General features: G+C 41.3%; 1 protein-coding gene across 9 annotated transcripts in view, besides 3 other annotated features; it reads left to right on the top strand.

The window, feature by feature from the left end:
* PRDM1 (PR/SET domain 1) overlaps positions 1-22,959 on the top strand; it is a 117,249-nt gene extending 94,290 nt beyond the window's left edge. For 3 of the 9 annotated variants that reach the window (XM_047419246.1, XM_017011187.2, NM_001198.4), the window contains 6 exons: positions 1,222-1,470; positions 8,636-8,755; positions 12,321-12,573; positions 17,846-18,954; positions 19,392-19,520; positions 19,932-22,959. In XM_047419246.1, coding sequence (XP_047275202.1) covers positions 1,288-1,470; positions 8,636-8,755; positions 12,321-12,573; positions 17,846-18,954; positions 19,392-19,520; positions 19,932-20,507 — 2,370 coding nt within the window. In that variant the 5' untranslated portion in view covers positions 1,222-1,287 and the 3' untranslated portion in view covers positions 20,508-22,959. Of the gene's footprint in view, positions 1-774; positions 952-1,221; positions 1,471-8,635; positions 8,756-11,109; positions 11,235-11,961; positions 12,116-12,320; positions 12,574-17,845; positions 18,955-19,391; positions 19,521-19,931 lie in introns of those variants that run through there. The other 6 variants (XM_011536062.4, XM_006715550.4, XM_047419247.1 and 3 more) reach the window with 6 other exon arrangements.
* Positions 11,189-12,388: an enhancer, noted in NCBI's record as "MED14-independent group 3 enhancer chr6:106546043-106547242 (GRCh37/hg19 assembly coordinates)". NCBI's record gives its function as "activates an origin of replication core promoter dependent on BRD2, BRD4, P300/CBP and CDK7 cofactors, and independent of MED14, by STARR-seq in HCT116 cells {active_cell/tissue: HCT116}" and the evidence as "EXISTENCE:reporter gene assay evidence [ECO:0000049][PMID:35650434]".
* Positions 17,795-18,509: an enhancer, noted in NCBI's record as "H3K4me1 hESC enhancer chr6:106552649-106553363 (GRCh37/hg19 assembly coordinates)". NCBI's record gives its function as "activates a minimal SCP1, AML or CMV promoter by ChIP-STARR-seq in primed H9 embryonic stem cells {active_cell/tissue: H9 hESC(primed)}" and the evidence as "EXISTENCE:reporter gene assay evidence [ECO:0000049][PMID:30033119]".
* Positions 18,510-19,223: an enhancer, noted in NCBI's record as "H3K4me1 hESC enhancer chr6:106553364-106554077 (GRCh37/hg19 assembly coordinates)". NCBI's record gives its function as "activates a minimal SCP1, AML or CMV promoter by ChIP-STARR-seq in primed H9 embryonic stem cells {active_cell/tissue: H9 hESC(primed)}" and the evidence as "EXISTENCE:reporter gene assay evidence [ECO:0000049][PMID:30033119]".

Genomic DNA, 25,936 nt, shown 5'->3' on the forward strand with positions numbered 1-25,936 from the left:
TCCAACTTTTTTTTTTTTAAGAGCATCCTATTTAGAGAAGTGGAAGAATGTAAAAACCTCCTTGAAGGACTTCCACAGAATGTTATGTTTACATTTGAACAAACACACATTCTTACATGGAAATGATACCCATATTCCTCATTTTTATCAAACATGTCTATATGAGAAAACCCTTACAGAAGTTGTTTACCTTTTTTTGCCTTTGGAAAACAGTTTTTTTCTGAGTGTGAGGGAGGATTTTGGGGGAATATCCTCATCAATGTACAAGTGGAAGCAGAGCTTGTCCTCCAAGTCTTCTAAATTTGTTATAACTTTAGTTACAGTAAACTGTAGTACATCAGTGACTTCTGGGAATTCATACACTTTCAGATTTAAATGGAAAGTGCTATTTGTAGCTGAGGACTCCTAAAGGAATTCTCTCCAGGGAATTTTATTAAACGGTTTTATGTTTTGTTTTTGCCTTTTCAATTTGGTATGAGATGCTTGCAAGTCAGAAGACACTGCAGGCTGTTTTCCCCTTCACCCATTTTTCCTCCTCTTTTCCTGTGGTCCAAGTGATTTCTAAGAGGCCGTAGCTCAGTGATGCTGGCAGGATGCAACCCTTTTCAGTCTTCCATGTGAGAGGATGAAAGAGAGCTCGCAGCAGAGGGAGGAGGCAGTTGTTTTGAAAGTTGTTTTGCGTTGGGAGCTGGTGGGAAAGTTCGGTCTTCCCCATTTGGAAAAGGCAGGCTGGGTTCCGCTCCTGCACCACACGCGCTTTCCATTTTTAGCTTCATTCAGAGGCAGACAGAGCTCCTTCCTCTTCCTCTCCTTGTTTGTGACACTTTTCTGAGGCAGCTTTTCCACAGTGCCGAGGGTCTGGCGGCCATGACCCCAGGCATTCTGGGACACTGGACTGTGTGCCCAGAACATTTTTCTGCCATGAGAGGTAAAGCCAGGGATTGTTCAGAGGTGATTCTTTTTTTTTTTTTCCTTTTCCCCACAGTGAGGTTGCCACATTCTTTTTTTTTTTTTTTTTTTTAACTAAGAGTAGCATTTAAAAACCTTGCTTCTTTTCAAGGCAGTTTACTTTATACGGCTTCTTGGCTCTTTCTCAACTGTACCAAGCACTCTGCATCTGCTTTTAAAGTCTTCAGACTACTGTATTAGTCATAGCCTCTCAGAAGGAGCCACAGGAACGGCGGGACAATGGGGATTAAAGGCCTTTCCTTTCTCTTCCAGGCTGCCCCCAAGTGTAACTCCAGCACTGTGAGGTTTCAGGGATTGGCAGAGGGGACCAAGGGGACCATGAAAATGGACATGGAGGATGCGGATATGACTCTGTGGACAGAGGCTGAGTTTGAAGAGAAGTGTACATACATTGTGAACGACCACCCCTGGGATTCTGGTGCTGATGGCGGTACTTCGGTTCAGGCGGAGGCATCCTTACCAAGGAATCTGCTTTTCAAGTATGCCACCAACAGTGAAGAGGTAAGCCTCTGGTTTATTGACAAGAAGATTGGGGACCTGGTGCCAAATCTCCCTACTTGCCCTTGAGGCCTTGTATATCTCTGAAAACCTCTGAGAATCTGTAAGTATCAGTAAATAATTGATTGCTCTATTCAATTCTTGCATTGCTTTCTCTTTCCCTAAACCATTTCCTTCTCATTTCTTCCAGCCTTCAACTGTTCCTCACTAATTAGTAAACAGTTAAATATTTTGGCAAATTGGCATGTCTTAGAAAAGCAACTTGCAGCATAGGGTGGGTGAAATTGTCAGTGAACTTCAAGAAAGCTCTGGGCCCACTGGCCCTAGTGTCCCTGTTGTACAATATCTCTTAAGGGAGAAAACTTTTTCTTGGAAAAAAAAGTTTTAATATTTCTTTTGTCTGTCTTTGGTAATTAGTTGGCTTTACTCTTTTTAACAAGCCAGCTTTATTAGCTGGGTTTCTAAAACTATCCTCAAAACTTTGACGTGTTTATGAAGTGAAGTGATGGTATAAGCCGAGAAAGGGGGTCATGTAAAAGTGTCCTCTGTCTGGATGACTTCAGAGCTAACCACTGTTTATCTGCAGCAGCTCCTTTGCTGGGGCTGGGCTGGCAGGCCAATTCCTTACTGGCCTCTGAAGTGGGTACACTCTTTGTTGTTTCAAAGGGGATGAAAACCCAAACTTGGAATGAGCAACTGATTTGTGTTTACCTTTAATATAAAGATTATAGCTAGGCGTGATGTTTAGCTGTGAAATAACTTGCAGAACCACCTCTTGTTTTCAGAATTTGGCTTACTGTAGTTGCACTTACTAGTCTACTACTGGGTTGAGTTGAATGAAAGGACCCCTCAGCAGACTTCCCATACCACCATTAGCACAGAGCACTGTCAATTCTATTACTTCCTTCAGAAAGTAGGGAAAGGGGATGGTTGGCCGTAGAAATCCAGAATTTGCTACTGGGACTATTCCTTACAGCCGTGTCAAATCACTTTCCCCCTTCCCTAAGGAACAGTATTTGAAGGAATCCGGGAGACTAGGAAATGCTTTGTCTCTTTCCTGTTTGTGTGTCTGAGTCCAGTGTTTTTGGTGAGGGGGAGACACAGCTGTCTAAAATTAAATAGAACAACGATGCTCAGTCTTTCTTTTTTCCCCCACTGCTGCGTGAATGGAGGCAGATTTTATAAAAAATAAAATTTAAATTCTAGTTGTAGTTGAATGTTACCAAAAAATTTAACCCCAGAGGTCAGCCTTAATTATACCTCTTCCTGAAAGTAATGCTCTTCTTATAGAAAGTCTCTCAATATGTGGCCCTTGGAATGAATGTAGGATTTGTTTGGGTATATGAGGTTTGACTATGGCTTTAAAAAGTGTAGTGTGTTTTTTCCCCATATCAAGTTTGACCAAATATTCGTCTGTTCCCAAGCTTCGTTTGTGCTGTGTTGCCCTGTCCAGTCCTTTGGGACTGAAGTAAAAATCTCCATTCTGTGGGTCATCTTTGCCTTTTAATTCTATAATGTTCTTATCGTCAGTTCAGCTCTTAGCTTAAGTTTTTCAATTTCCGTCATTCTCCTTTAAAATCATAGCTAAGTCAAGTAATGCTCTTAGATCATTTAGTTCAAGGTTCAGAAAGACAGTCACTTACCCAAAGGCATATAGGTAAAGCCAGACCGGGGACTTGAAGCAAAGCTTTTCTGACTTCTCCAATGAGTGCTTCTCGATTATGCTACACTGGCCCCTCTTGGTGTCACTGTGGTTTTAGTTATCATCTTAATATATTTCAGACCAATCCTTAAGCTATTTTGTGTTTTTTTCCCTCTGAATGTATAACTTCCTATTTCAATATATTAAGCAACCAAAAAACAGACAATGCCTGTGTTCCTGAAGAAGGTCCTTCGAAACTAACCTAAGAGGTGAGGGTTCTCTTATCCTATTTCCCTATCTTGCATTTAACTGAAGCGCTTGAATAGAGGATAGTATGTCTTTAAACCCTAATCATAAAGTCAAGCAAGGAGTAAACTTGAATGTAATACTGTCTTAAGCTTACTCTGGAATTTGTACCTGTTTTTCTGTTTCTCTCCTTTGTTTTTGAACTTTGGGAAAGGACAGCTTCCTTTAGAAGGTGAAAGAGGATGGTGGAGTTGAGCCATTAAGGGTAGGATAGCTGCAAACTAGTTCCGGGACAGCAACATTAAGGATTGATGAAATGTTTACATTATCTTTATTCAGTTAGTTCTTTAAGTTCCATGAGCCATTGAAATAGGAAGAGTCTTTCTACATGTACTTTTTATCTGACTTATTAATCTTGCCCTTCTTTAAATGTTTTCGTTTAAATAGCAAAAGATGTTACAATATGTACTATTGTGCTGACATACCGGGGAATTTTTTTTTTACAAGACCATTTTTCATTATGAATTTGTACCATGTGTCAGCACCTTTTTTTTTTTTTTGGTTAAAACAAAACATACAAATCATATTTCTGATCTTGACCCTCATTTTTAGATTGGGTTTAGAATCATTCTGCACCTTTAATGAAAAACTGTTCTTACTTCCTATTTCCAGAACTGAAATCAAATATAGACCTACTATTCAAAACTTTGAAAATGTTTTAAACTGATGGGTTATTCTTTTATGGGGGTTTTCCCCTTGTCCTCCTGAAATAATCTCTTATGACTACTTGACTACAGAAAAATCAGTTCAAGCATTTATATTTTAGAAGCGTTACCCTGTAGAGTTTCTGCCGTCGGTTGAGACTGCTTGCACTCAAGAGGCACTGTGGCTCTGTGAGTCTCACCTCCCTGTATCGTGGCTGATAAACATCAGACAGATTGTGAGGACTCCTTTGGTGTCCATTCTGATCGAAATCCATTATTAACTCAAGCCATCTGTAAAAAGTATCTCACCATAACATGCAATTCTCTCTTCATGTTGCCTTTTATTTGAGAAATGATGTACCAAGGCATCACCATGTCTCCTTTAATAGAAAGATAATGAAGAAGGAAACCTTCTCCAAACAACTTTGTTCACTTCACTCCTTTTAAAAATGGGGTGATTGCCGGGCGCGGTGGCTCACGCCTGTAATCCCAGCACTTTGGGAGGCTGAGGACAGCAGATCACCTGAGGTCAGGAGTTCAAGACCAGCCTAGCCAACATGGTGAAACCCCATCTCTACTAAAAATACAAAAATTAGCCGGGCGTGGTGGTGGGCGCCTGTAATCCCAGCTACCTGAGAGGCTGAGGTAGGAGAATCGCTTGAACCTGGGAGGTGGAGTGAGCCGAGATCGTGCCATTGCACTCCAGCCCAGGCAACGAGAGTGAAACTCTGTTTCAAAATAAATAAGTAAATAAATGCCATTGCACTCCAGCCCAGGCAACAAGAGCAAAACCCTGTTTCTAAATAAATAAAATAAAATAAAAATGAGGTGATTGCAGGCTGAAGGTCTTGGTCACTACTGAGTTCTAGTTCTCTCAAGACAAATATTCATATGGTCAAAACAGAATTATAATCTAACGAGTCATTCTTATAGAGTGGGATTCGGGGAGGGAAAACAGATAGCTAGTAATTTAAATGATCTTAATGTAATTTGGGGAGAGGATGATCAGATGACATTTAGACTTGGATATAGTTTCTGCTTCAAACCCACGCTGTGTGTGTCTGTTTGCATACTCTCTAAAGAAGGAATTTGAAAAAAAAAAAAAAAAACAAACCTATATTGTCCTTGTTATCAGCCTTCCATTAAGCGCTCCAACTCAACCCATCCTAAGCTGTCAAATCTCCTTCATTGTGTAAAATTGAAAAGAAGCCCTGTGTTTTGTCCGGAAGCTGTGGAAACTGTGGACGGCGGGGTGTGTTCTGTAACTGAGGCCACAGACAGAAACAAATCTGCTCAAGTGGTGGAGGGGTCTGCACCGCACATAAAGAGCTTCTGTGGGAGCAGGTGAAGCAAGGAGGTATTGAAGCCGGGTGTCCTCTTGCTGTTGAGTTTATAGAAGGCACAGAGCGGCCTGTCCCCAGCAGTAATTCTTTAGGACCCTGGTCAGTTCCAGTGAAGTTTCCTTCTTGAGTTAGGTGAACACATTCTTTGTCTTTTTAGCACTGTGAAGTTTAAGCTACACACCAAGTTCCTCCTTAGTATTTGCTTGGTTCAAAGATAAACTGTTACAAACTATGGGTCAGGGAGATGGGTAGTCTAAGATGCACATTCTGGATCTTTCTAGGACCAGAGGGAGACTTAGTACTTGGTTTTTTCACTTCCCTTTAAAAACAATCCTGGTTCCTGTTCCCCCTCCAAAGTTACCTGGACAAGCACCATAGTCTTAGAGTTTCAGCTTTTATGGCGTCTGTGTCTCAGACGTGCATTTGAGATGAAGATGTTTACTGTATATTAGAACGCTAGACTTAGAATGGATATAGGTGGTTTGTAAGTGCCTTCCAGTTTTGAAATTTTATGATTTTGTATCTTTATCTATAGGTGTGAGTTTATATGTGCCCTATAGCACTGTATGTAATTGAAATTTAAAATATTAGGGCGCTCTGTCCCTTTCCTAATGATAAGCTAATATTGAAGCTCTTTAATTTGTCTGGGGTTTGAGGATTATCATAGACCTCTCTTCTACCACAGAGCCTTCTCTTTTTAATTGTTCTCCTGTCTTGCCTGTTGAATTGAATTTGTAAGGTTAGAGATGGCAAGAGCTACTTCCGGTGCTGCTTTATAGCTTACTAGTGATGAGTCTATAGTTGTGCTCAAATAGGTATTGGGTAGCTTATGCTTTCTAGTTGACTTCTTTTTGGGCACAAGAAAATGTGTGTAAGATGGATAACTGAAAACCTAGAGGCCCATTCTGTAAAAGAATGGCAATTTGGAAGAAGAACCACGACCTCAGTGCAGTGCTCCGTTTTGGTAATCAAGCTCTGACTCCCAAGACACCATCTGTAAGAGACTATAATTTAAAACAAAGTTGATGAACCAGTTGAGTGCCTTTCTTAAAATTACTGTTGTAAAGTAGATATGTTGAAAATATCAACTGCTAATTATTGGCTCACCAACAAATGGCATGATTTGTTTTTCCTGTTTGTCATTCTAATATTATGGAATAATCACTGAAATATGAATGTTAAATGATTTGCATGTCATAGAATTCAATTCCATTAATTTTCCAAATTAATTAGATTCAATAATAATATGTCCAAAACAATGAGCCTCTGAATAAGTCTACTAAAGCTTTAAATATATATATTTATATCTCAAGACTGCTCTGAGATACTCTTGTCCCCAGTAGTTTTACTGCCAACAAATACCAATAATGACAAACGGTGATTAAAAGGGCAGATAGATGTAAATGAAGGCAGAGGAGGAGGATGAAATGAACATCTGCTTTTTTCAGCTCTCTGACAGAAATTCTTAAAGGACCAAAAATAACACTCTTGTTTCAACTTATGTTAGGTGTAGGAAAATTTTCTTTTTTTCTCTTTCCAGTCTGAGTATGCTTCATTGATTTGTATATTGAATACTAAATTGTTTTAGAAAAAAAAATCATTGGCTGATAAGACACTTAAATGAGAAAAGCTAGTCTGTCACAGGCATGTAGGTGTGCCATATCTATTTAAATAGAGGTTTAAATTATTGATGAGACTTAATGAGGAACTGGTGTATATTGTAACCAAAATTGTAGATTCCACTGTGAACAATCTGTGCATGGATCGATTCACATATTTGAGTCTACCATTTCAGGTACATGAATGTACAGGAGCTACTGGGAATATAAAAACTGGAAAATAAACATTATCATCTATTACCACTCCCTCCTCCTTGGTCCATTTTAGTAAAGAATTCAGTAAAGTGATAGGTAGGCTATCTTGAATGAGAAGAAAATAAAACTAGGAAAGTGAGAGAATAAAAACCAAAACAAAACTGTAACTGCAAACTGTTGTAAAGGACTACTCACAGAGGAGTTCTATTGAATAGTGACGAATTGCTTCCTGATTCACGGTTGGTGATTTTTTTACCCCTTCAAAGAGAAATTTATTATTAAGGAGGAACTGGTATAGTTAACATGTTTCTTTAGCAAGGCCCCACAAAGTTAAAATGTGTGATGCATCCAGTCTGAGGTCATTTCCTCAGATCTTAGAACCTACAGCTTTCCTCCGTATAAACTTAATTTCAAAGGAGGGCTTTTGGCCAGGCATGGTGGCTCAGCCTGTAATCTCAGCACTTTGGGAGGCCGAGGTGGGAGGATCGCTTGAGTCCAGGAGTTTGAGACAAGGCTGGGCAACATGGTGAGACCCCTTCTCAACAATAACAACAAAAATTAGCTGGGCGTGATGGTGCATGCCTGTAGTCCCAGCTACTCAGGAGGCTGAGGTGGGAGGATCTCTTGATCCCAGGAGGTCAAGGCTGCAATGAGCTAAGATCAAGCCACTGCATTCCAGCCTGAGTGATAGTGGGAGACCTTGTCTTTAAAACACACACACACACACACACACACACGAGGGCCTTTGACCACTCTTGAGTAGAAGACTCGAGAAGAACAAAGTAGAAGGCCAGAGAAGAACAAAGTTACTTGAAAGATCTCTTATTAAAGAGAATGTACAAGCTATGAAAAAAAAAAAACACACACACACACACAAACCTCATCTGGAATGAAAAAAACATAATGCATTTGGTTTCTGGTTCCTTAGGCTGTTATGGAACAACCAAAGAACATTATTTTGGTTTCTGAGGTCAGAACTATTTTATTCCCCTCAAGCACACTATGCTTATGGTTTGAGGGAGAATGAGAAATAGGAAACTAGGAACAGGCTGAAATGGTCTAATCTTGACCATCTAATTCTGCAGTGTCTTATTCTCATTCTAAAAGAGAATGGTTATATTCGCTGTTCTAGCATAAAAAGTAATGATAAAAATAAAAGATCCCGTATTACCAGACAATAATCCCCTAGACTGTTTTAATGCTTGGTTGAGTATTTGCTTATGATCTCAGACTTTAAAAGATGGTCTCCCCCTATGGTGAAGCTTGTTAATTATGTAGGCATCATTAATGTCTGTTTACTTATCAAAATTTTATCATTGTTAGTTGTATTACTACTTGACAGTCCAATTTATTTAATTGAAAAGATTGGTTAACATTTTATAGTCAAAGTAATTGTTTCCTGTGTTTTTTCCTGTTTAGGTTATTGGAGTGATGAGTAAAGAATACATACCAAAGGGCACACGTTTTGGACCCCTAATAGGTGAAATCTACACCAATGACACAGTTCCTAAGAACGCCAACAGGAAATATTTTTGGAGGGTAAGTAAGGGAAATTTCTTCAGACCCATTAAATGTTAGGAAAAAATGGAGCTAAAAGAGCTGGGTGGCTCACCTTTCTCATCCTGTGCTGAGAAATGCTGGGGCTCACCCATAAGTATCCAGCATCCCCATGGACACAGGGAATTCTGAACAAATGTGATGAAACCGATGAAATGTCTGGCCTGTAGGTGGTTAGTGATGGAGATACGGGCTATATGTGAATCTTGATTTTTGCAATTCATTAGAGCTTTGTAATGAAAGGAAACAGTTTGTTGCTTGCTTTAAGGATAGGTTCATTTGCATTTCTCCGCAAGGAAGTAGTAATGAGTTACCAAGCCTTAGATTTCACCCCTTTTTGATTTCTTGCTGACTTAACTTTAATTGAATGGAAGAGTTATCACAAATGAATTATCTTTTTGGTTTTTTTTTTTTTGAGATGGAGTCTCACTCTGTCACCAGGCTGGAGTGCAATGGCATGATCTCGGCTCACTGCAACCTCCGCCTCCCAGGTTCAAGCAATTGTCCTGCCTCAGCCTCCCGAGTAGCTGGGACTAAGGTGCGCGCCACCATGCCCAGTTAATTTTTGTATTTTTAGTAGAGACGGGGTTCCACTATGTTGGCCATGATGGTCTCGATCTCTGGACCTCGTGATCCGCCCACCTTGGCCTCCCAAAGTGCTGGAATTACAGGCAAGAGCCACCGCGCCCAGCCAGGAATGACAAATGAATTACCTTATAAGTAAATGCCATTAAGGAAGGATAGCTGGAAGATGGGTTGAGGGGAATGGAGGACCACAGAACTAGTCCTATTTAAATACATGTGCATGGTAAAATGATTCCATTTGACAATAGGTTAATTATCTCATAGCATAAGGAAAATGCTTAACAGTCATATGCAAGATGATAAGCTTTCCTATAGCATCCAACCAAAAGATCTAGCCAGTACAATTTCCTTTGCTATATTAGGGTTAGAAAGGCCCCCAGAGGTGAACCAATTAGATGGAATCCTTGAATAAAACACTGGATTAGCAGTGAACAGAAAAAAGTCAGATTGCTTTCCTTCTTCCCATAGATGTCTCAGGGATATTTAGTTTCCTCAGAAGATAAAGAATTTAGTAAGCGTTTTTTTGTGCATACTTACATGAAATGTACATTATTTGAATTCTTTAAAAAGAAACAGCTGCATGATAACAAAAATTGTGTTATGCTTGCTTTAGCTGGTATTTTTGCCTAGAACGATTATATCGTTCGGACAAGAAGCTATTCCTAAGAAACAATATTTTTAATCCAGGAAGTTTTTCATTTTTAGAAATTTATCTTACTATTTCCCAAGCAAAAGAGGGTAGTTACAGATTCACTAAGAATCATGTGCTCACAATTTTTATTTAATAATTATTCCTCCTTAAAATATATTAATCACCTGACTTACAATGGTGGAACCATGAGTGCATTTTTGCCTTTATTGTCAATAACGTCTTCTCAGAAGTGAGCCACAAAGGTGCATAGTTCTTGGAGTTAAAGGTCTGAATTAAGACAATCCAGCATAAGTCTCATTAATGTGTGATTATTTTGAGAAAAGGCAAGAAGTACCTAAGAATCTCCCCCTCACTGTCCAGTTCCCTGTTTCATTTAAAGATTCACTGTAAGTAACTGAAAGGCTTTCCTTGGGAGGATTTATTTGAATCAGTCTTTCACATGCAAAGGATATTGTAGAACATCTCGTTTTTGCTGGCAGGAATATGAACATCTGTTGTGAGGAAAGAAAAAGTTTCATGCAAATTACACTGCCAAAGAAGGGATGTTCAAGTTGAGAAACCAGTGACATTTCTTGTAACTGTACTATGAATCAGCGCATTTTAATCTTCTAGATAATATATGGAAGTGCAGGAAGGTGGTAGGAAACGGTGTTCATTTTACATATGCGTTATTTTATTCTGTGTGAGTGACTTCATGGCACCGACATTGCTGTTTTTAAATGAGGATACAGTAAATTGCAGTCCGAGGAAGGCTAACTGGAATCAACATACCCGTAGCTTTAGAAAGCAGTTTCCGCACCAGCGAAGAGTACAAGAGCGATGGAACCCCATGTTCCTGGAAGTTTGCACATCAGAGTAAACAAACTTGAAAACCCCTCTTGATAGCAGAATTCACCCAGCCTTGTTCCATTTTCTCTTAACAAAACACACCGCAAAAGCTCTCACAAGCTGCTTTGATGAAGCCACATGTATTTCCCCCTTCACAATTTACAGGAAGTTACTCTTAAAAGAAAGTGATTCTGGTGTTTACCGCCTGTGTTAAAGGGACAGAGTTCCTTTTTATTTCTGATAACGTTTGAGCGAAATACAGAAACTATCTGTAGACTAGCATAGTCGGTACGTGAGTAAGGAAAAGCAATAACCTGCTGTCCGGTGAGCACAAAATTCCTGCTACGAACAGTGCCTTACTGCTGCTTGGAGACTGCAAGTCGCAGATCACACTAGGTATTGACTGATTGTATAAGGAAATTTCTTAAAGTCTAAAGTAAAGGTGGTACCTCCTAAAAAGAGGGGAAGAGAGAAAACTTTGTGTGGAAGGATAAGGAGTGTGTTTATAGTTTCAGTAAGAGTGTACGTTTTAATTTTTCTTCTTCCTCTGCCTCTTTGCCAAGTAGCCTGAGTGCATCTGTTATCCAGAAGTAGTATTACTCTAGGACAAACTTCAAATTCTTCATTCTGCGTTGCCTTTAAGGAACAACATACTTTCTTCCTGTTCTTTTTCCAAAAACACACGCCTATGGCTCTGTGTGTGGTGTTTTAGCCAGCCTCCTCCCAGATAAGGGGTTCCCTTCCCTCCTTTGCATTGAAAGGAAAGTGCAAGTCTGGACATGTTTATCAAGAGGAAAAGTGACTTCTCAGTAATAGACTGTCAAATTCGGGCTGCTGCCCGAGTGTTCGCTTTGTTATGGCAGGTGAAGTTCACCTTTGCCCCACCCAGTGTTTCCACAAAAAGGCAAGGTTCCAAGTATTCATATGAACAAGTGTTACTTTAGGACTTGGAGGGTTGGGGGTGGAGGATGTTTGCATAGTTGAAGCCTTGGGCGGGGGTGTAGGAAACGGCGAGTACAGAGGCCATAGAAAAAGCTAAGACTCAGTTTGACGTCGTCAGCCGGCTTGGTCTTCTACCCAGTGACTCAAAGCACTAAAAGTCAGCATAATCGGAACTGAAGTCAGTAGCATCGCCCATTTGCCATTCACTGCAGTAGCAAAAGTAGTACTCTGTGGTGGGTTAATCGGTTTGAGGCAGCTCCTTAAATGAACATTTGTGTTTCATTTTTCTGTTATTTTCCCGAACATGAAAAGACGATAAAACTGAAATGGAAAAGGTAACTGACAAAAGTGTGCCTTACCTGTTTCCGCCCTGATTTCTGCTGATTCAAGACTATTCTGGCTAAACTGATTGGATTCTTTTTCTAACTAGGCAGTAGGGGATCAGAAATCACACACGGTACCGGCTGTGTTTATTCTGAGAGGTGCTGGGGAGCTTTGGGTCTGACTTCCTTTTACATGCCTGTCTTCTCTTTTGGACAGATCTATTCCAGAGGGGAGCTTCACCACTTCATTGACGGCTTTAATGAAGAGAAAAGCAACTGGATGCGCTATGTGAATCCAGCACACTCTCCCCGGGAGCAAAACCTGGCTGCGTGTCAGAACGGGATGAACATCTACTTCTACACCATTAAGCCCATCCCTGCCAACCAGGAACTTCTTGTGTGGTATTGTCGGGACTTTGCAGAAAGGCTTCACTACCCTTATCCCGGAGAGCTGACAATGATGAATCTCAGTAAGTGGATTACAGAACAAAAAAATAAAAAATGCCAGTAATGTCGGTTCTGCCCCTTTGAACTAATAACATGTTGTTTAATTATACGGCTTTGTCATGTGTTGGATGAAGTAGGTGGCTTAAGCTAGGGACTAGGAAGAGGAAAAACATTTTTTGAGTCCCTATTAACTATTAGGAAACTTGATCATTTAAAAGTATATATATATATGAGGAGCTACCTTGAGTTTTGAATTCAGGATGTTACAGGAAGAAATATATGTCCAATTCTAATTTATCCAAAAGCAGTTGGGAGAATTACAGGGATTGGTCCAGACATGCTGCGTATGCAAGGTATAGCCCTCATCTGTGGTACTTTGGCAGGGCTTAGACTGCATCAAAATATTTATAGATGTACATTTGAGTGTACAGTTAGGATCTGATGTGGAACATTGTAAGATCATTGCTAGAAAAACTTTGTCATAATTTTTCAATATTATTCTAAGTGAATAACCGTAAAGATTTTACATCTTAGCTTCCTTCCTTACAGTAAAAAAACTATCTGATCTCTTGATCAGTATTATAGTAGCCACCTATCACTTTATCTTAACAAATTCTCAATTCCTTAGGTTTATGTGCTTTTACTTCTTTTATTTGATTAAAATTGCTGTCATGACCTCTCTCTGCAGAGGGCTGCATCATTTTGGTCATTCTCAAGTGATCTCTTTGAGCAATTTAAGAATTGCCATAAGATTCTAACCTCTGCTGTAACTATGGTTGTGTGTTCTTGGTTAGACCACTAAATCTTATTAGCAGTTTTAAAAATTATTCCTTTTGGTTTAGAAGTTAAGACTAAATGCTGAAGTTTTTGTAACTTTTGGTTTTGATATCATTTCAAACTTAAGAAAACATTTGAAGAAAAGGACAAAGAATTTCCACTTACCCTTTACCCAGGTTTACCAGTTATTGATAAGTATATCCATTTGCTTTACCAGAAGGCTAACTTGTTTTAGTTCTCATTTTCACCTTTGAGACATTTGGAATAAATATCAATGTTAACATAAATTGGAATTTTGACTTTGATTTTAGGACCAATGAACAAGCCAAGTACTTACCCTAGTCATATATAATCCAACTGTATGGTTATTTGGTATTCATTCCACACTTCATTTTACTTGATCTCCCTTAAGATTGCAAGATTGTGTTTGCAGTTTTTCTGAAAATCTGGGGCTATAAAAGCATCAGGACCTCCCCCGTAGGGGAGGTCGTGTGTTTGGGGTCCTTACACAACAGGTTACCCTTGAGCTTCAGGAAAAGAACTGGCTCTCAGTTCCCCAGTTCCAGCTTAATGGGTCTAATTAGGTCCTGACCAAAAAGGTGGCAGTTCTTTTCCCTCATGTCTCTTCAGCGCTCCCCGAGACTCTGGAGACTCTGTCATATCCCTAGGGCTGAGCCTCCCAGGAACCATTCGGCTGTTGTGGCATCTGTGTATGCCATGCCCAGTGCTGAGGACCTAGTAACAAACGACAAATGCACAGGCACAGTGGCATTTTTGTGGAACTCGTATTCCAGCTGTGCGTCTCAGAAGAAGCGCACAGCTCCCTCCTGGCTTTCTTAACATAGTGAGCCACTTCCACTTAAGGGTCTCCTTACATTCCTTGAGTTTAATCATTCATGGATTCAGAGGAAAGTCTTTTGATTTTTGCTTTTCTTTAAACAGTTCATTTGAGGTGACCTACCCCAGTGACTTTGCACCAACCACCAAGAAACTTTTTTGCATGCTTCCCGCACCCTGTGCCAATCAAGGGAAGGGTTTAAAGGCCTGGCGTTTTTATTCCTCAAAGAAAGGTTTTGCACAGTATTTTAAGGTTCAAGTGCTTCTACTTTGTGTTCAGAAGCAACTGTCATATATACTGTGAAATGACACCTTTTATTTATCCCTTTTTATTTATGCAGTATGTCCCCTTTTATTTTGGCAGAATTTTTTCTAAATGGTGGTTTAACATTTTCAAGCACATTTCATTGTCCAATATTCATAGTAAAGAATGAGAGTTAACAATAACCAGTCACATTAAAACAAGATTCCTGCTGCCAGTTGTGAAACCGGTTGTCTTAGGCGTGGCAGCTGATGATTGAGACTGTGATCAGGAAAATTTCCACTATTTCATCAGGCCTAATAGGTAGATTGTGTCTCCAAATGAACTGTGTTGGGTTTCCATGCTTAAAGCACAATAGAGGTGGTGCAAGAATCTCCATGAGGGCTTAAATGGCAGTGATGGTTCAGGCGGTAGAGTTTGGAGAAGAAGGGATTTGAAACAAACCAAAGGAAAGAAAAGTAAGTAGCCAGAAATCACAAAATGGCATTTTTCTAAAAACAAAGGAAAAGGAATAAAAGAACTAATAAGTTTGAAACCCCTACCCCTCCCAAATTTGGCAGGGGGGGAGGTATTTTTTTTCTATCTATCTAACTAACCCATCTAGAAAACAGTTGACCAAATTATAGACTTCTAAATGTTAATCTGCTTTCTCAGTTTCAGTTGAAAAGAGACTTTGTTTTGCCTACTGCAGAACTTCTAGGTTCTTTCTTATAGTCTTGGGGTTCTTATTATAGATCGAAAATGTGAGTCGGCATAATTAAGCCATTCGGAGTCTTCAGAAGCAGTTCACTCTTGAAATGACTCCGTCCGCCTACAGCCATTTAAGATTTCAGAACAAAAACAGATCTTGATTTTCTTTTTCATGTTAACTCAAGCTGTTGCTGAGTGGGAGAGTCAGAAATGACACCAGCTCCACTGATTACTCAGCTGCTGAAGGATGATTTTTTAAAATGCACCTTTACTGTATATGGACTTCCTAATTTCCACCTGTAGAGCATCTTAGGGAGGCTAACATGTCACTCTGGATGTTCTTTTAGAATAAGATGCAAATCTATTTTTCTGAAGGCATTAGAGATAGCAAACATTTATTGTGAGTTTACTATATACTAGGCACTGTGCTAAGTGTTTTGCATAGAAAGTTTAAAATTCTGGCTTTTTTGTTGGCCCAATCATAAGTTTCATATCAGTTCAACATTCAAATTATATTAAGGTACTTAAGAAGAATCCCTGGCTAAATGTGAGGGGCAGTGCCACAGATGGACTGAAACTTTATGCTTATTGCACATTTATGCTATTATTATTTGTTGAATTATAGAACCAAGGGAGTGTGGAAGCCACTGGAAAAAATATGAGACTTAGATACATAATTTGAGTAAAAATGGCTCAAAGTCATGAGGGTAAAGTTTTTTGTATTTCCATTTTATTCGAGCGGCATCGTTTTTAAAAATCATTATGAATTTGACCCTATATAGATGTTTCCAAATAATTCTTTTTCACCTTCATAAAATTCCTTCCTGTGGCTGTGAGATGCCTTGCCTATCAGTTTTCAAGCTTAGTTGTCTTTCTCATCCTTTACCATTTTAGCTTTAAAAAACAAAAGTGACAATTAGAACTTCCTGCCTGCTGGGCCTCACTGAAAGACCGATATTGGCCTGATAAGGAGATATTTATTTTGTTTTAGTGGCTTCAGAAATCCCTCTCCCTCAGCAAGCTTTCCATCACGGCCCCCCCGTCAGCATCTTCCCTGATAGCGTTCTTCTCTGTGTTTATTCTGGGGCTTCAGGCTCGCCCAGGAGGAACTGATAACCGCTGGCAGGAGATAACATTCTCTAAGGGGCTCTCAAATTGGAATCGAATCCCTCAAGCCAGTCAGCCTAGAGAATACATTTAAAGGGTTCAGTTCTGGAGTTTCACAGAGTTCATTTCTAGACCTATCAGATAGCAAGTGTGGAGTTCTTTCTCAACTAAATTCAAGCAGAGACATTTTTTAGACGATGAAGGATATTTGCACAAAGGCTTCAGCATGATCCCCCAAACCTGCTGCCTCTGAAGGCATCTCCACACATTGACAGCCAATGCCTTCAGTGCGTTCCTAGGGCAGGTGTCCTGGCTTGAGTGACTGTCCTCCAATAATCAGAGCTCAAACTAAACATCGTATGTTTTACTTTTGGTTTCCAGGCAAGGCTGAGCAGGGAATTTTCAGTTTTCCCTGCCCAGATGGGTGTTTTTTCCTGAAGGCATCATTTATTGTGTAGCGAGGAGACAGGGCTGGCTGTGGCAGGGATAGTCTAGAACTGTCCTCATTGCTGCTGTTCCTAAATAGTATCTTTACCAAGTAATAACGTGCCGTCTTTGGGAATAAGTGCTTTCCTCTTAGCCTGTTCTGTTTTCTTGGGTGCGCTAAGTAATTGAACTGGCTCAGGAAGTACCTATTGTGGTTTGGCAGAGGTGACTGTCACGCCTTGTGACTCCAGGGGCCAGCACTGCTGGGATCCTGGCTAGACCAGACAGAGCCTTGGTGAAGTGCTTAGGCTGTCTGCACATCGCGAGGAAGGTGGTATTCACTTCGCTAAGCTCCTTGGCATAGGCAGTTTGAACAGGGCTTTATCAAATTCGTATTCAACAAGAGTAGAAGCGAAAATTGATGACTGTGTATTACTTGAAATGAGTCTTAATCTTTCACATTTAGTTCTCAGGGTATGCTGATTTCCTTTAGGTAAACCATGAACATCAGAAAGACTTTTATTAACCTATGACAGGGTCCCCACCCCAGTATTTTTCCACTCCATTAAAATGGAAGTTTTTTTTTTTTTTTTCTTTTTTGAGACAGAGTTTTGCTCTTGTTGCCCAGTCTGGAGTGCAATGGCACAATCTCGGCTCACCACAACCTCCACCTCCCAGATTCAAGCGATTCTTCTGCCTCAGCCTCCCAAGTAGCTGGGATTACAGGTGTGCGCCACCACGCCCAGCTAATTTTGTATTTTTAGTAGAGATGGGGTTTCTCCATGTTGGTCAGGCTGGTCTCGAACTTCCGACCTCAGGTGATCCGCCCACCTCGGCCTCCCAAAGTGCTGGGATTACAGGCAAGAGCCACTGCATCCAGCTTAGGCTATCTTACTCCAGCCTAAACAGCAATTTTCTATCATAAGGTCTGTACTAATGAAAACAGAATCACCCAAGGCTGCTGTTTGTTCTGTCTGTGCTGCCATTGTCCGCATTTTGCTGAGGAGGAAACGGAACTGCACTTTTGAGTGAGTGGCCCAGAGCCTTCTAGAATGAGAGTGCGTTGGAAGCCAGATATGTGGCGATTGTGTCGCCAGCTGTTACTCAGGTTTTCTCAAGAAGGAGGAGCAACTTTGGCAGTTTTGCTTCAGTTCTCTCTAGCCCTCTGTGTAATCGCCCCTTTTTCTTTATTTCAGCACAAACACAGAGCAGTCTAAAGCAACCGAGCACTGAGAAAAATGAACTCTGCCCAAAGAATGTCCCAAAGAGAGAGTACAGCGTGAAAGAAATCCTAAAATTGGACTCCAACCCCTCCAAAGGAAAGGACCTCTACCGTTCTAACATTTCACCCCTCACATCAGAAAAGGACCTCGATGACTTTAGAAGACGTGGGAGCCCCGAAATGCCCTTCTACCCTCGGGTCGTTTACCCCATCCGGGCCCCTCTGCCAGAAGACTTTTTGAAAGCTTCCCTGGCCTACGGGATCGAGAGACCCACGTACATCACTCGCTCCCCCATTCCATCCTCCACCACTCCAAGCCCCTCTGCAAGAAGCAGCCCCGACCAAAGCCTCAAGAGCTCCAGCCCTCACAGCAGCCCTGGGAATACGGTGTCCCCTGTGGGCCCCGGCTCTCAAGAGCACCGGGACTCCTACGCTTACTTGAACGCGTCCTACGGCACGGAAGGTTTGGGCTCCTACCCTGGCTACGCACCCCTGCCCCACCTCCCGCCAGCTTTCATCCCCTCGTACAACGCTCACTACCCCAAGTTCCTCTTGCCCCCCTACGGCATGAATTGTAATGGCCTGAGCGCTGTGAGCAGCATGAATGGCATCAACAACTTTGGCCTCTTCCCGAGGCTGTGCCCTGTCTACAGCAATCTCCTCGGTGGGGGCAGCCTGCCCCACCCCATGCTCAACCCCACTTCTCTCCCGAGCTCGCTGCCCTCAGATGGAGCCCGGAGGTTGCTCCAGCCGGAGCATCCCAGGGAGGTGCTTGTCCCGGCGCCCCACAGTGCCTTCTCCTTTACCGGGGCCGCCGCCAGCATGAAGGACAAGGCCTGTAGCCCCACAAGCGGGTCTCCCACGGCGGGAACAGCCGCCACGGCAGAACATGTGGTGCAGCCCAAAGCTACCTCAGCAGCGATGGCAGCCCCCAGCAGCGACGAAGCCATGAATCTCATTAAAAACAAAAGAAACATGACCGGCTACAAGACCCTTCCCTACCCGCTGAAGAAGCAGAACGGCAAGATCAAGTACGAATGCAACGTTTGCGCCAAGACTTTCGGCCAGCTCTCCAATCTGAAGGTAGGCCTTGAGAGAGAGCAGTCCAAGGGGCTGTGAGTGCATGCTTGTGTTTGTATTTAGCTTGCTTTCCATGGGGTATCGATTGCATTTGCAGTAGTATGAGCCCCCGGTTGGGGATAGTGGGTATGGATTCCGCCTGGCTTTTGCCACTTCTAGCTCTTTGACTTTGGACAAGTGACTTCCCTTCTCCTGATTTTCTTCTGAATAATAAAAAAATTAGGGGTTTGGACTAGAAGATTAGGTGAAACTCCCTGCTAGCCTGTGATTTTTGTGCTTTTAAGAAAAACACCATTCTGAAAACATGAAGATTTCTTCTTTTTAAGACTGTCTTGATGCTTTTCTTAAGATATTTGCATCAACACTTGAGTCTTGGAGCAGAAATGTTAGGTCTCAGAGCCAGCTTGAGAGCAGAGCTAACACATGTGGCTTCTTCCCAGGTCCACCTGAGAGTGCACAGTGGAGAACGGCCTTTCAAATGTCAGACTTGCAACAAGGGCTTTACTCAGCTCGCCCACCTGCAGAAACACTACCTGGTACACACGGGAGAAAAGCCACATGAATGCCAGGTGCGCAGTATTTTCTGGGTAGACCTTCTGACCTTTGTAGAAAATGTCTGTGAGTCACCCTCCCATGTCCTATATAGCCCGTAGTTAAAGCCAACACCAGATTCTGCGTTGTCCCATCCTGGACTGATGGCACTATGGTCCTTCCCAGTACTTTGTATCTGCTGATGACTTGAGATGGCACAGCCAGCTTCCAGTGGGTGGGAAAATGGTAGGGGAAATAAACAGCCCCTCGTGTGCTGTGTGCCCACATCCCCCCGTTTGCTTAATACCACACTGGAGGTGCCACAAGGAGGCTTCTCACCTCCTAGGTTGCTGGGCGTTGGCCGGTAAGCCTGCCCCTCCCGTTGGCAACTCTTAATCTTCTGGCCTTCCTGTCTCCCTTCCCTGCTGTCTCTCTCCCCTACACTGTAGGTCTGCCACAAGAGATTTAGCAGCACCAGCAATCTCAAGACCCACCTGCGACTCCATTCTGGAGAGAAACCATACCAATGCAAGGTGTGCCCTGCCAAGTTCACCCAGTTTGTGCACCTGAAACTGCACAAGCGTCTGCACACCCGGGAGCGGCCCCACAAGTGCTCCCAGTGCCACAAGAACTACATCCATCTCTGTAGCCTCAAGGTTCACCTGAAAGGGAACTGCGCTGCGGCCCCGGCGCCTGGGCTGCCCTTGGAAGATCTGACCCGAATCAATGAAGAAATCGAGAAGTTTGACATCAGTGACAATGCTGACCGGCTCGAGGACGTGGAGGATGACATCAGTGTGATCTCTGTAGTGGAGAAGGAAATTCTGGCCGTGGTCAGAAAAGAGAAAGAAGAAACTGGCCTGAAAGTGTCTTTGCAAAGAAACATGGGGAATGGACTCCTCTCCTCAGGGTGCAGCCTTTATGAGTCATCAGATCTACCCCTCATGAAGTTGCCTCCCAGCAACCCACTACCTCTGGTACCTGTAAAGGTCAAACAAGAAACAGTTGAACCAATGGATCCTTAAGATTTTCAGAAAACACTTATTTTGTTTCTTAAGTTATGACTTGGTGAGTCAGGGTGCCTGTAGGAAGTGGCTTGTACATAATCCCAGCTCTGCAAAGCTCTCTCGACAGCAAATGGTTTCCCCTCACCTCTGGAATTAAAGAAGGAACTCCAAAGTTACTGAAATCTCAGGGCATGAACAAGGCAAAGGCCATATATATATATATATATATATCTGTATACATATTATATATACTTATTTACACCTGTGTCTATATATTTGCCCCTGTGTATTTTGAATATTTGTGTGGACATGTTTGCATAGCCTTCCCATTACTAAGACTATTACCTAGTCATAATTATTTTTTCAATGATAATCCTTCATAATTTATTATACAATTTATCATTCAGAAAGCAATAATTAAAAAAGTTTACAATGACTGGAAAGATTCCTTGTAATTTGAGTATAAATGTATTTTTGTCTTGTGGCCATTCTTTGTAGATAATTTCTGCACATCTGTATAAGTACCTAAGATTTAGTTAAACAAATATATGACTTCAGTCAACCTCTCTCTCTAATAATGGTTTGAAAATGAGGTTTGGGTAATTGCCAATGTTGGACAGTTGATGTGTTCATTCCTGGGATCCTATCATTTGAACAGCATTGTACATAACTTGGGGGTATGTGTGCAGGATTACCCAAGAATAACTTAAGTAGAAGAAACAAGAAAGGGAATCTTGTATATTTTTGTTGATAGTTCATGTTTTTCCCCCAGCCACAATTTTACCGGAAGGGTGACAGGAAGGCTTTACCAACCTGTCTCTCCCTCCAAAAGAGCAGAATCCTCCCACCGCCCTGCCCTCCCCACCGAGTCCTGTGGCCATTCAGAGCGGCCACATGACTTTTGCATCCATTGTATTATCAGAAAATGTGAAGAAGAAAAAAATGCCATGTTTTAAAACCACTGCGAAAATTTCCCCAAAGCATAGGTGGCTTTGTGTGTGTGCGATTTGGGGGCTTGAGTCTGGGTGGTGTTTTGTTGTTGGTTTTTGTTGCTTTTTTTTTTTTTTTTTTTTTAATGTCAAAATTGCACAAACATGGTGCTCTACCAGGAAGGATTCGAGGTAGATAGGCTCAGGCCACACTTTAAAAACAAACACACAAACAACAAAAAACGGGTATTCTAGTCATCTTGGGGTAAAAGCGGGTAATGAACATTCCTATCCCCAACACATCAATTGTATTTTTTCTGTAAAACTCAGATTTTCCTCAGTATTTGTGTTTTTACATTTTATGGTTAATTTAATGGAAGATGAAAGGGCATTGCAAAGTTGTTCAACAACAGTTACCTCATTGAGTGTGTCCAGTAGTGCAGGAAATGATGTCTTATCTAATGATTTGCTTCTCTAGAGGAGAAACCGAGTAAATGTGCTCCAGCAAGATAGACTTTGTGTTATTCTATCTTTTATTCTGCTAAGCCCAAAGATTACATGTTGGTGTTCAAAGTGTAGCAAAAAATGATGTATATTTATAAATCTATTTATACCACTATATCATATGTATATATATTTATAACCACTTAAATTGTGAGCCAAGCCATGTAAAAGATCTACTTTTTCTAAGGGCAAAAAAAAAAAAAAAAAAAAAAGAACACTCCTTTCTGAGACTTTGCTTAATACTTGGTGACCTCACAATCACGTCGGTATGATTGGGCACCCTTGCCTACTGTAAGAGACCCTAAAACCTTGGTGCAGTGGTGGGGACCACAAAACAACCAGGGAGGAAGAGATACATCATTTTTTAGTATTAAGGACCATCTAAGACAGCTCTATTTTTTTTTTGCCACTTTATGATTATGTGGTCACACCCAAGTCACAGAAATAAAAAACTGACTTTACCGCTGCAATTTTTCTGTTTTCCTCCTTACTAAATACTGATACATTACTCCAATCTATTTTATAATTATATTTGACATTTTGTTCACATCAACTAATGTTCACCTGTAGAAGAGAACAAATTTCGAATAATCCAGGGAAACCCAAGAGCCTTACTGGTCTTCTGTAACTTCCAAGACTGACAGCTTTTTATGTATCAGTGTTTGATAAACACAGTCCTTAACTGAAGGTAAACCAAAGCATCACGTTGACATTAGACCAAATACTTTTGATTCCCAACTACTCGTTTGTTCTTTTTCTCCTTTTGTGCTTTCCCATAGTGAGAATTTTTATAAAGACTTCTTGCTTCTCTCACCATCCATCCTTCTCTTTTCTGCCTCTTACATGTGAATGTTGAGCCCACAATCAACAGTGGTTTTATTTTTTCCTCTACTCAAAGTTAAAACTGACCAAAGTTACTGGCTTTTTACTTTGCTAGAACAACAAACTATCTTATGTTTACATACTGGTTTACAATGTTATTTATGTGCAAATTGTCAAAATGTAAATTAAATATAAATGTTCATGCTTTACCAAAATTTGTCTAGTGTCTTGAGTGAAGGGTCAGTGAGCGACATCTCCATACTGTACAGATGGCACCAGAACAAATTTTGAACACAATGCAATTTGTCTCTCCCCTGCCCCCACCCCTGTTCTTCTGCAGCACCCTCTGGGGTGCCCTGATCTCCCCCGGCTCCTTCCAGGAGTATATTTGTGCGTGATCTGACAGCATTGATTTGTCTCTCATAACTAAGATTTTTCTTTATGAACTATAAAAATGTTCTCTAAAGGAAGCATTTCAAGCATCAGCCAGTAAGTGGGAGACGATTTGTTTGCTTTGTGAACTTTTACATTTTATTTCGTCAATGGACATGGGGTGGTGAGCAGATAAGGAGGACTTGGATCACTTCCAGAAATGCCCTGCTAGCTTGTGCCAGTCTGTGTGCGTGTGTGGAGACTCAGCACACTTATGGGTGTGGGGCCCTGGGAAGCTGGGTCAGGGAACACTTTGCCCATTGGTGACAGCGGCTTCAGTAGCTTCCTCTGGGCAGGCCATGGGGAGTGCCCTACAACCCATGTTTACTCCTTCACATGTAAGCACGTTTGCTATTTGCTACTTGTCCTTTTTTTTTTTTTTCTTTTTTTTTTTTTTGAGACCAGTTTTTGCTCTGCCACCCAGGCTGGAATGCAGTGGAACGATGATGTCTTACTGCAGCCTTTATCTCCCAGGCTCAAGCCATCCTCCCACCTCATCCTCCCGAGTAGCTGGGACTACAGATGCGTGCCCCCAGGCCCAGCTAATTTTGTTTGTTTTTGGTAGAGACAGTCTCACTATGTTGCCCAGACTGGTCTCCAACTCCTAGACTCAAGCAATCCTCCTGCTTTGGCCTCCCGAAGTGCTGGTATTACATGCATGAGCCACCGCACCTAGCCTACTTGTGCATTTAAAAAGTTTCCAGAAAGCTGCTTTCCCAGAATCTGAGCGTTGTTAGTGTGAGAGCCAGGTATCTTGGTGGTATGGCCATGTGGCCCTATGTGATGGGAACAAGTCTATGTGCTTAGCCATTCACGCTCCAGAAACTAACCTGTGTCCAGAGAAAAGGCTCACATAAATTCGAGTCTCATTTGATAGATGTAAGTAGGAGATGCTTCTAGAAAAGTGATAGTTCATTCAGTGAAAAGAAAATCTAAAAGCCCTTTGCAAGTGGTTTTCATGCTTCCCATTTCATCTATTAGCAAATTTATGGTTTTATGCGCATGCTGACTGCATGTTAAGAAAATAATGCTCCTGCTTACATTTGGACACTCAAAACTGCCTGATGCTTTGTTTTTAATGTTTCTTCTTTAAATTCACTTAAACATCTGTGCCCAGAATTTGAAATTCTGCCAACATGTAACTGTGGAGTTAAGAAAACCAGAACCCTATTGTCATAAACGTGCCAAACGGCGCTGGTTATATTCCTAAATTCTACAGAACCATTGTGGTAATAATTTTTCAAAACAAAGCCCAATAGGATCCTGAGAGTAACAGCTAACTACCATAAATCATAGTTCTTTACTTGGCAAATCATTTCTTTCTTTTTTTTTCTTGAGAGTTATATATCTTGGGAACACTTATGGACTTAGCTGTTTAATGAAACATTACATAAAAAGATAATATTCACTAATGAGCCCAAGTCCACCCAGCCAAAGTCCATACTGTTGGATCAAGACTTCATCCAGCTGTTTGTAGGACAAAGTAAGACTGAAGAAGCCACCTTTTTCTGAGTTTACCTTCAACAAAATAAAAACTCTGTGCAGAAATGATGCATTTAATTCCCTACCATGAGGCAATATATAGAATATACAGCACCGTGGGAGTCTATAGGCACATTTCTAGATATTTTTTCCTTGGGGGAAATGAAATCAATTTAGGATCCGTAAGTTGGTATAAATGAGCTCATTCCTTCCTCTGTGTGTGTGTGTGTGTGTGTGTGTGTGTGAGAGAGAGAGAGAGAGAGAGAGAGAGAGAGAGAGAGAGAGAGAGATGCCTTCTCTAAAAGGAGATAATGAGAAAAGGCCAGAACAGAGGAATGAAAGTAATTAGAGGCACATGGCAGATAATTTCTAATGCAAAACCAGGCCTCCAGGATAATCTGGTCTAGAAAGGAAGGCTGTACCACAGAAGGCAGCAGCTGAAAGAATTGATGAACAGAAGAGTTAGATAGAATGTGATCATTGAACCAGTCCAGAAGGCACTTCTGTTTCCTTTCAGAGATCATGGAGTTCTTTGTCCATAACATGTCATTTCATTCTCAGCTTCTGGCCAGAAGAAATCAGATCATTATGAACAGTGGCCATCAAATCTACTTCTGGGTATGAAGTGGCTACAAGAAATGTTTTAGGATTGGTGGATAAGCTTCCCTAACATCATTTTTCAAGCTTCAAGTCCTCAGAACCCAAGTTCATTTGCTCAAAGTGCTGCTGACAGCTGCTCCTTAAATAAGTGAAAAGTGATTTTAATCTCAATACAGTCTTAATCGTGTAATTCAGGCAAAAATGCAGCAAGATTCCAAAAAGTTATTTTTAACTGAATTTATGCAAATAGTCACTCTCCCTTTCCCAGTTTTACAGCATACTATAAACTAACAAACCCTCTCCTAGTTTGCTCTTCCTTCCAGGTTTGACAAGTAATGAACCAGGGTTGGCTGTGTGCACTTTTCCTTCTCTCTGAATTTTCGATAGGTTTTATTCAGCATAAACATGAATGTAGTCATCTTGTGGTTTTCCCCTACCCCCGTCATAAAAGAAAGGAGAAATGACAGATAAATAGCAATGGCTAATCTTGGTAAGAAATTCTTCAATATGTTAACAAAGGGGGTTCTCATGGAATTGTGGCAAAGTTCCCCAACTTCAGGTGTCTTAAGGATTCACCTGTGGATGATGGCAACCAGCTCTTCCCCATTGTGGGTAAGGAGCAGAACAAAGGAAATGAAATTAAAGCGTTGCAGAGGGGACTTTGGTTTAAGTCACCAA

This window comes from Homo sapiens, chromosome 6, assembly GCF_000001405.40.
Source record: "Homo sapiens chromosome 6, GRCh38.p14 Primary Assembly".
Lineage (NCBI taxonomy): Eukaryota > Metazoa > Chordata > Mammalia > Primates > Hominidae > Homo > Homo sapiens.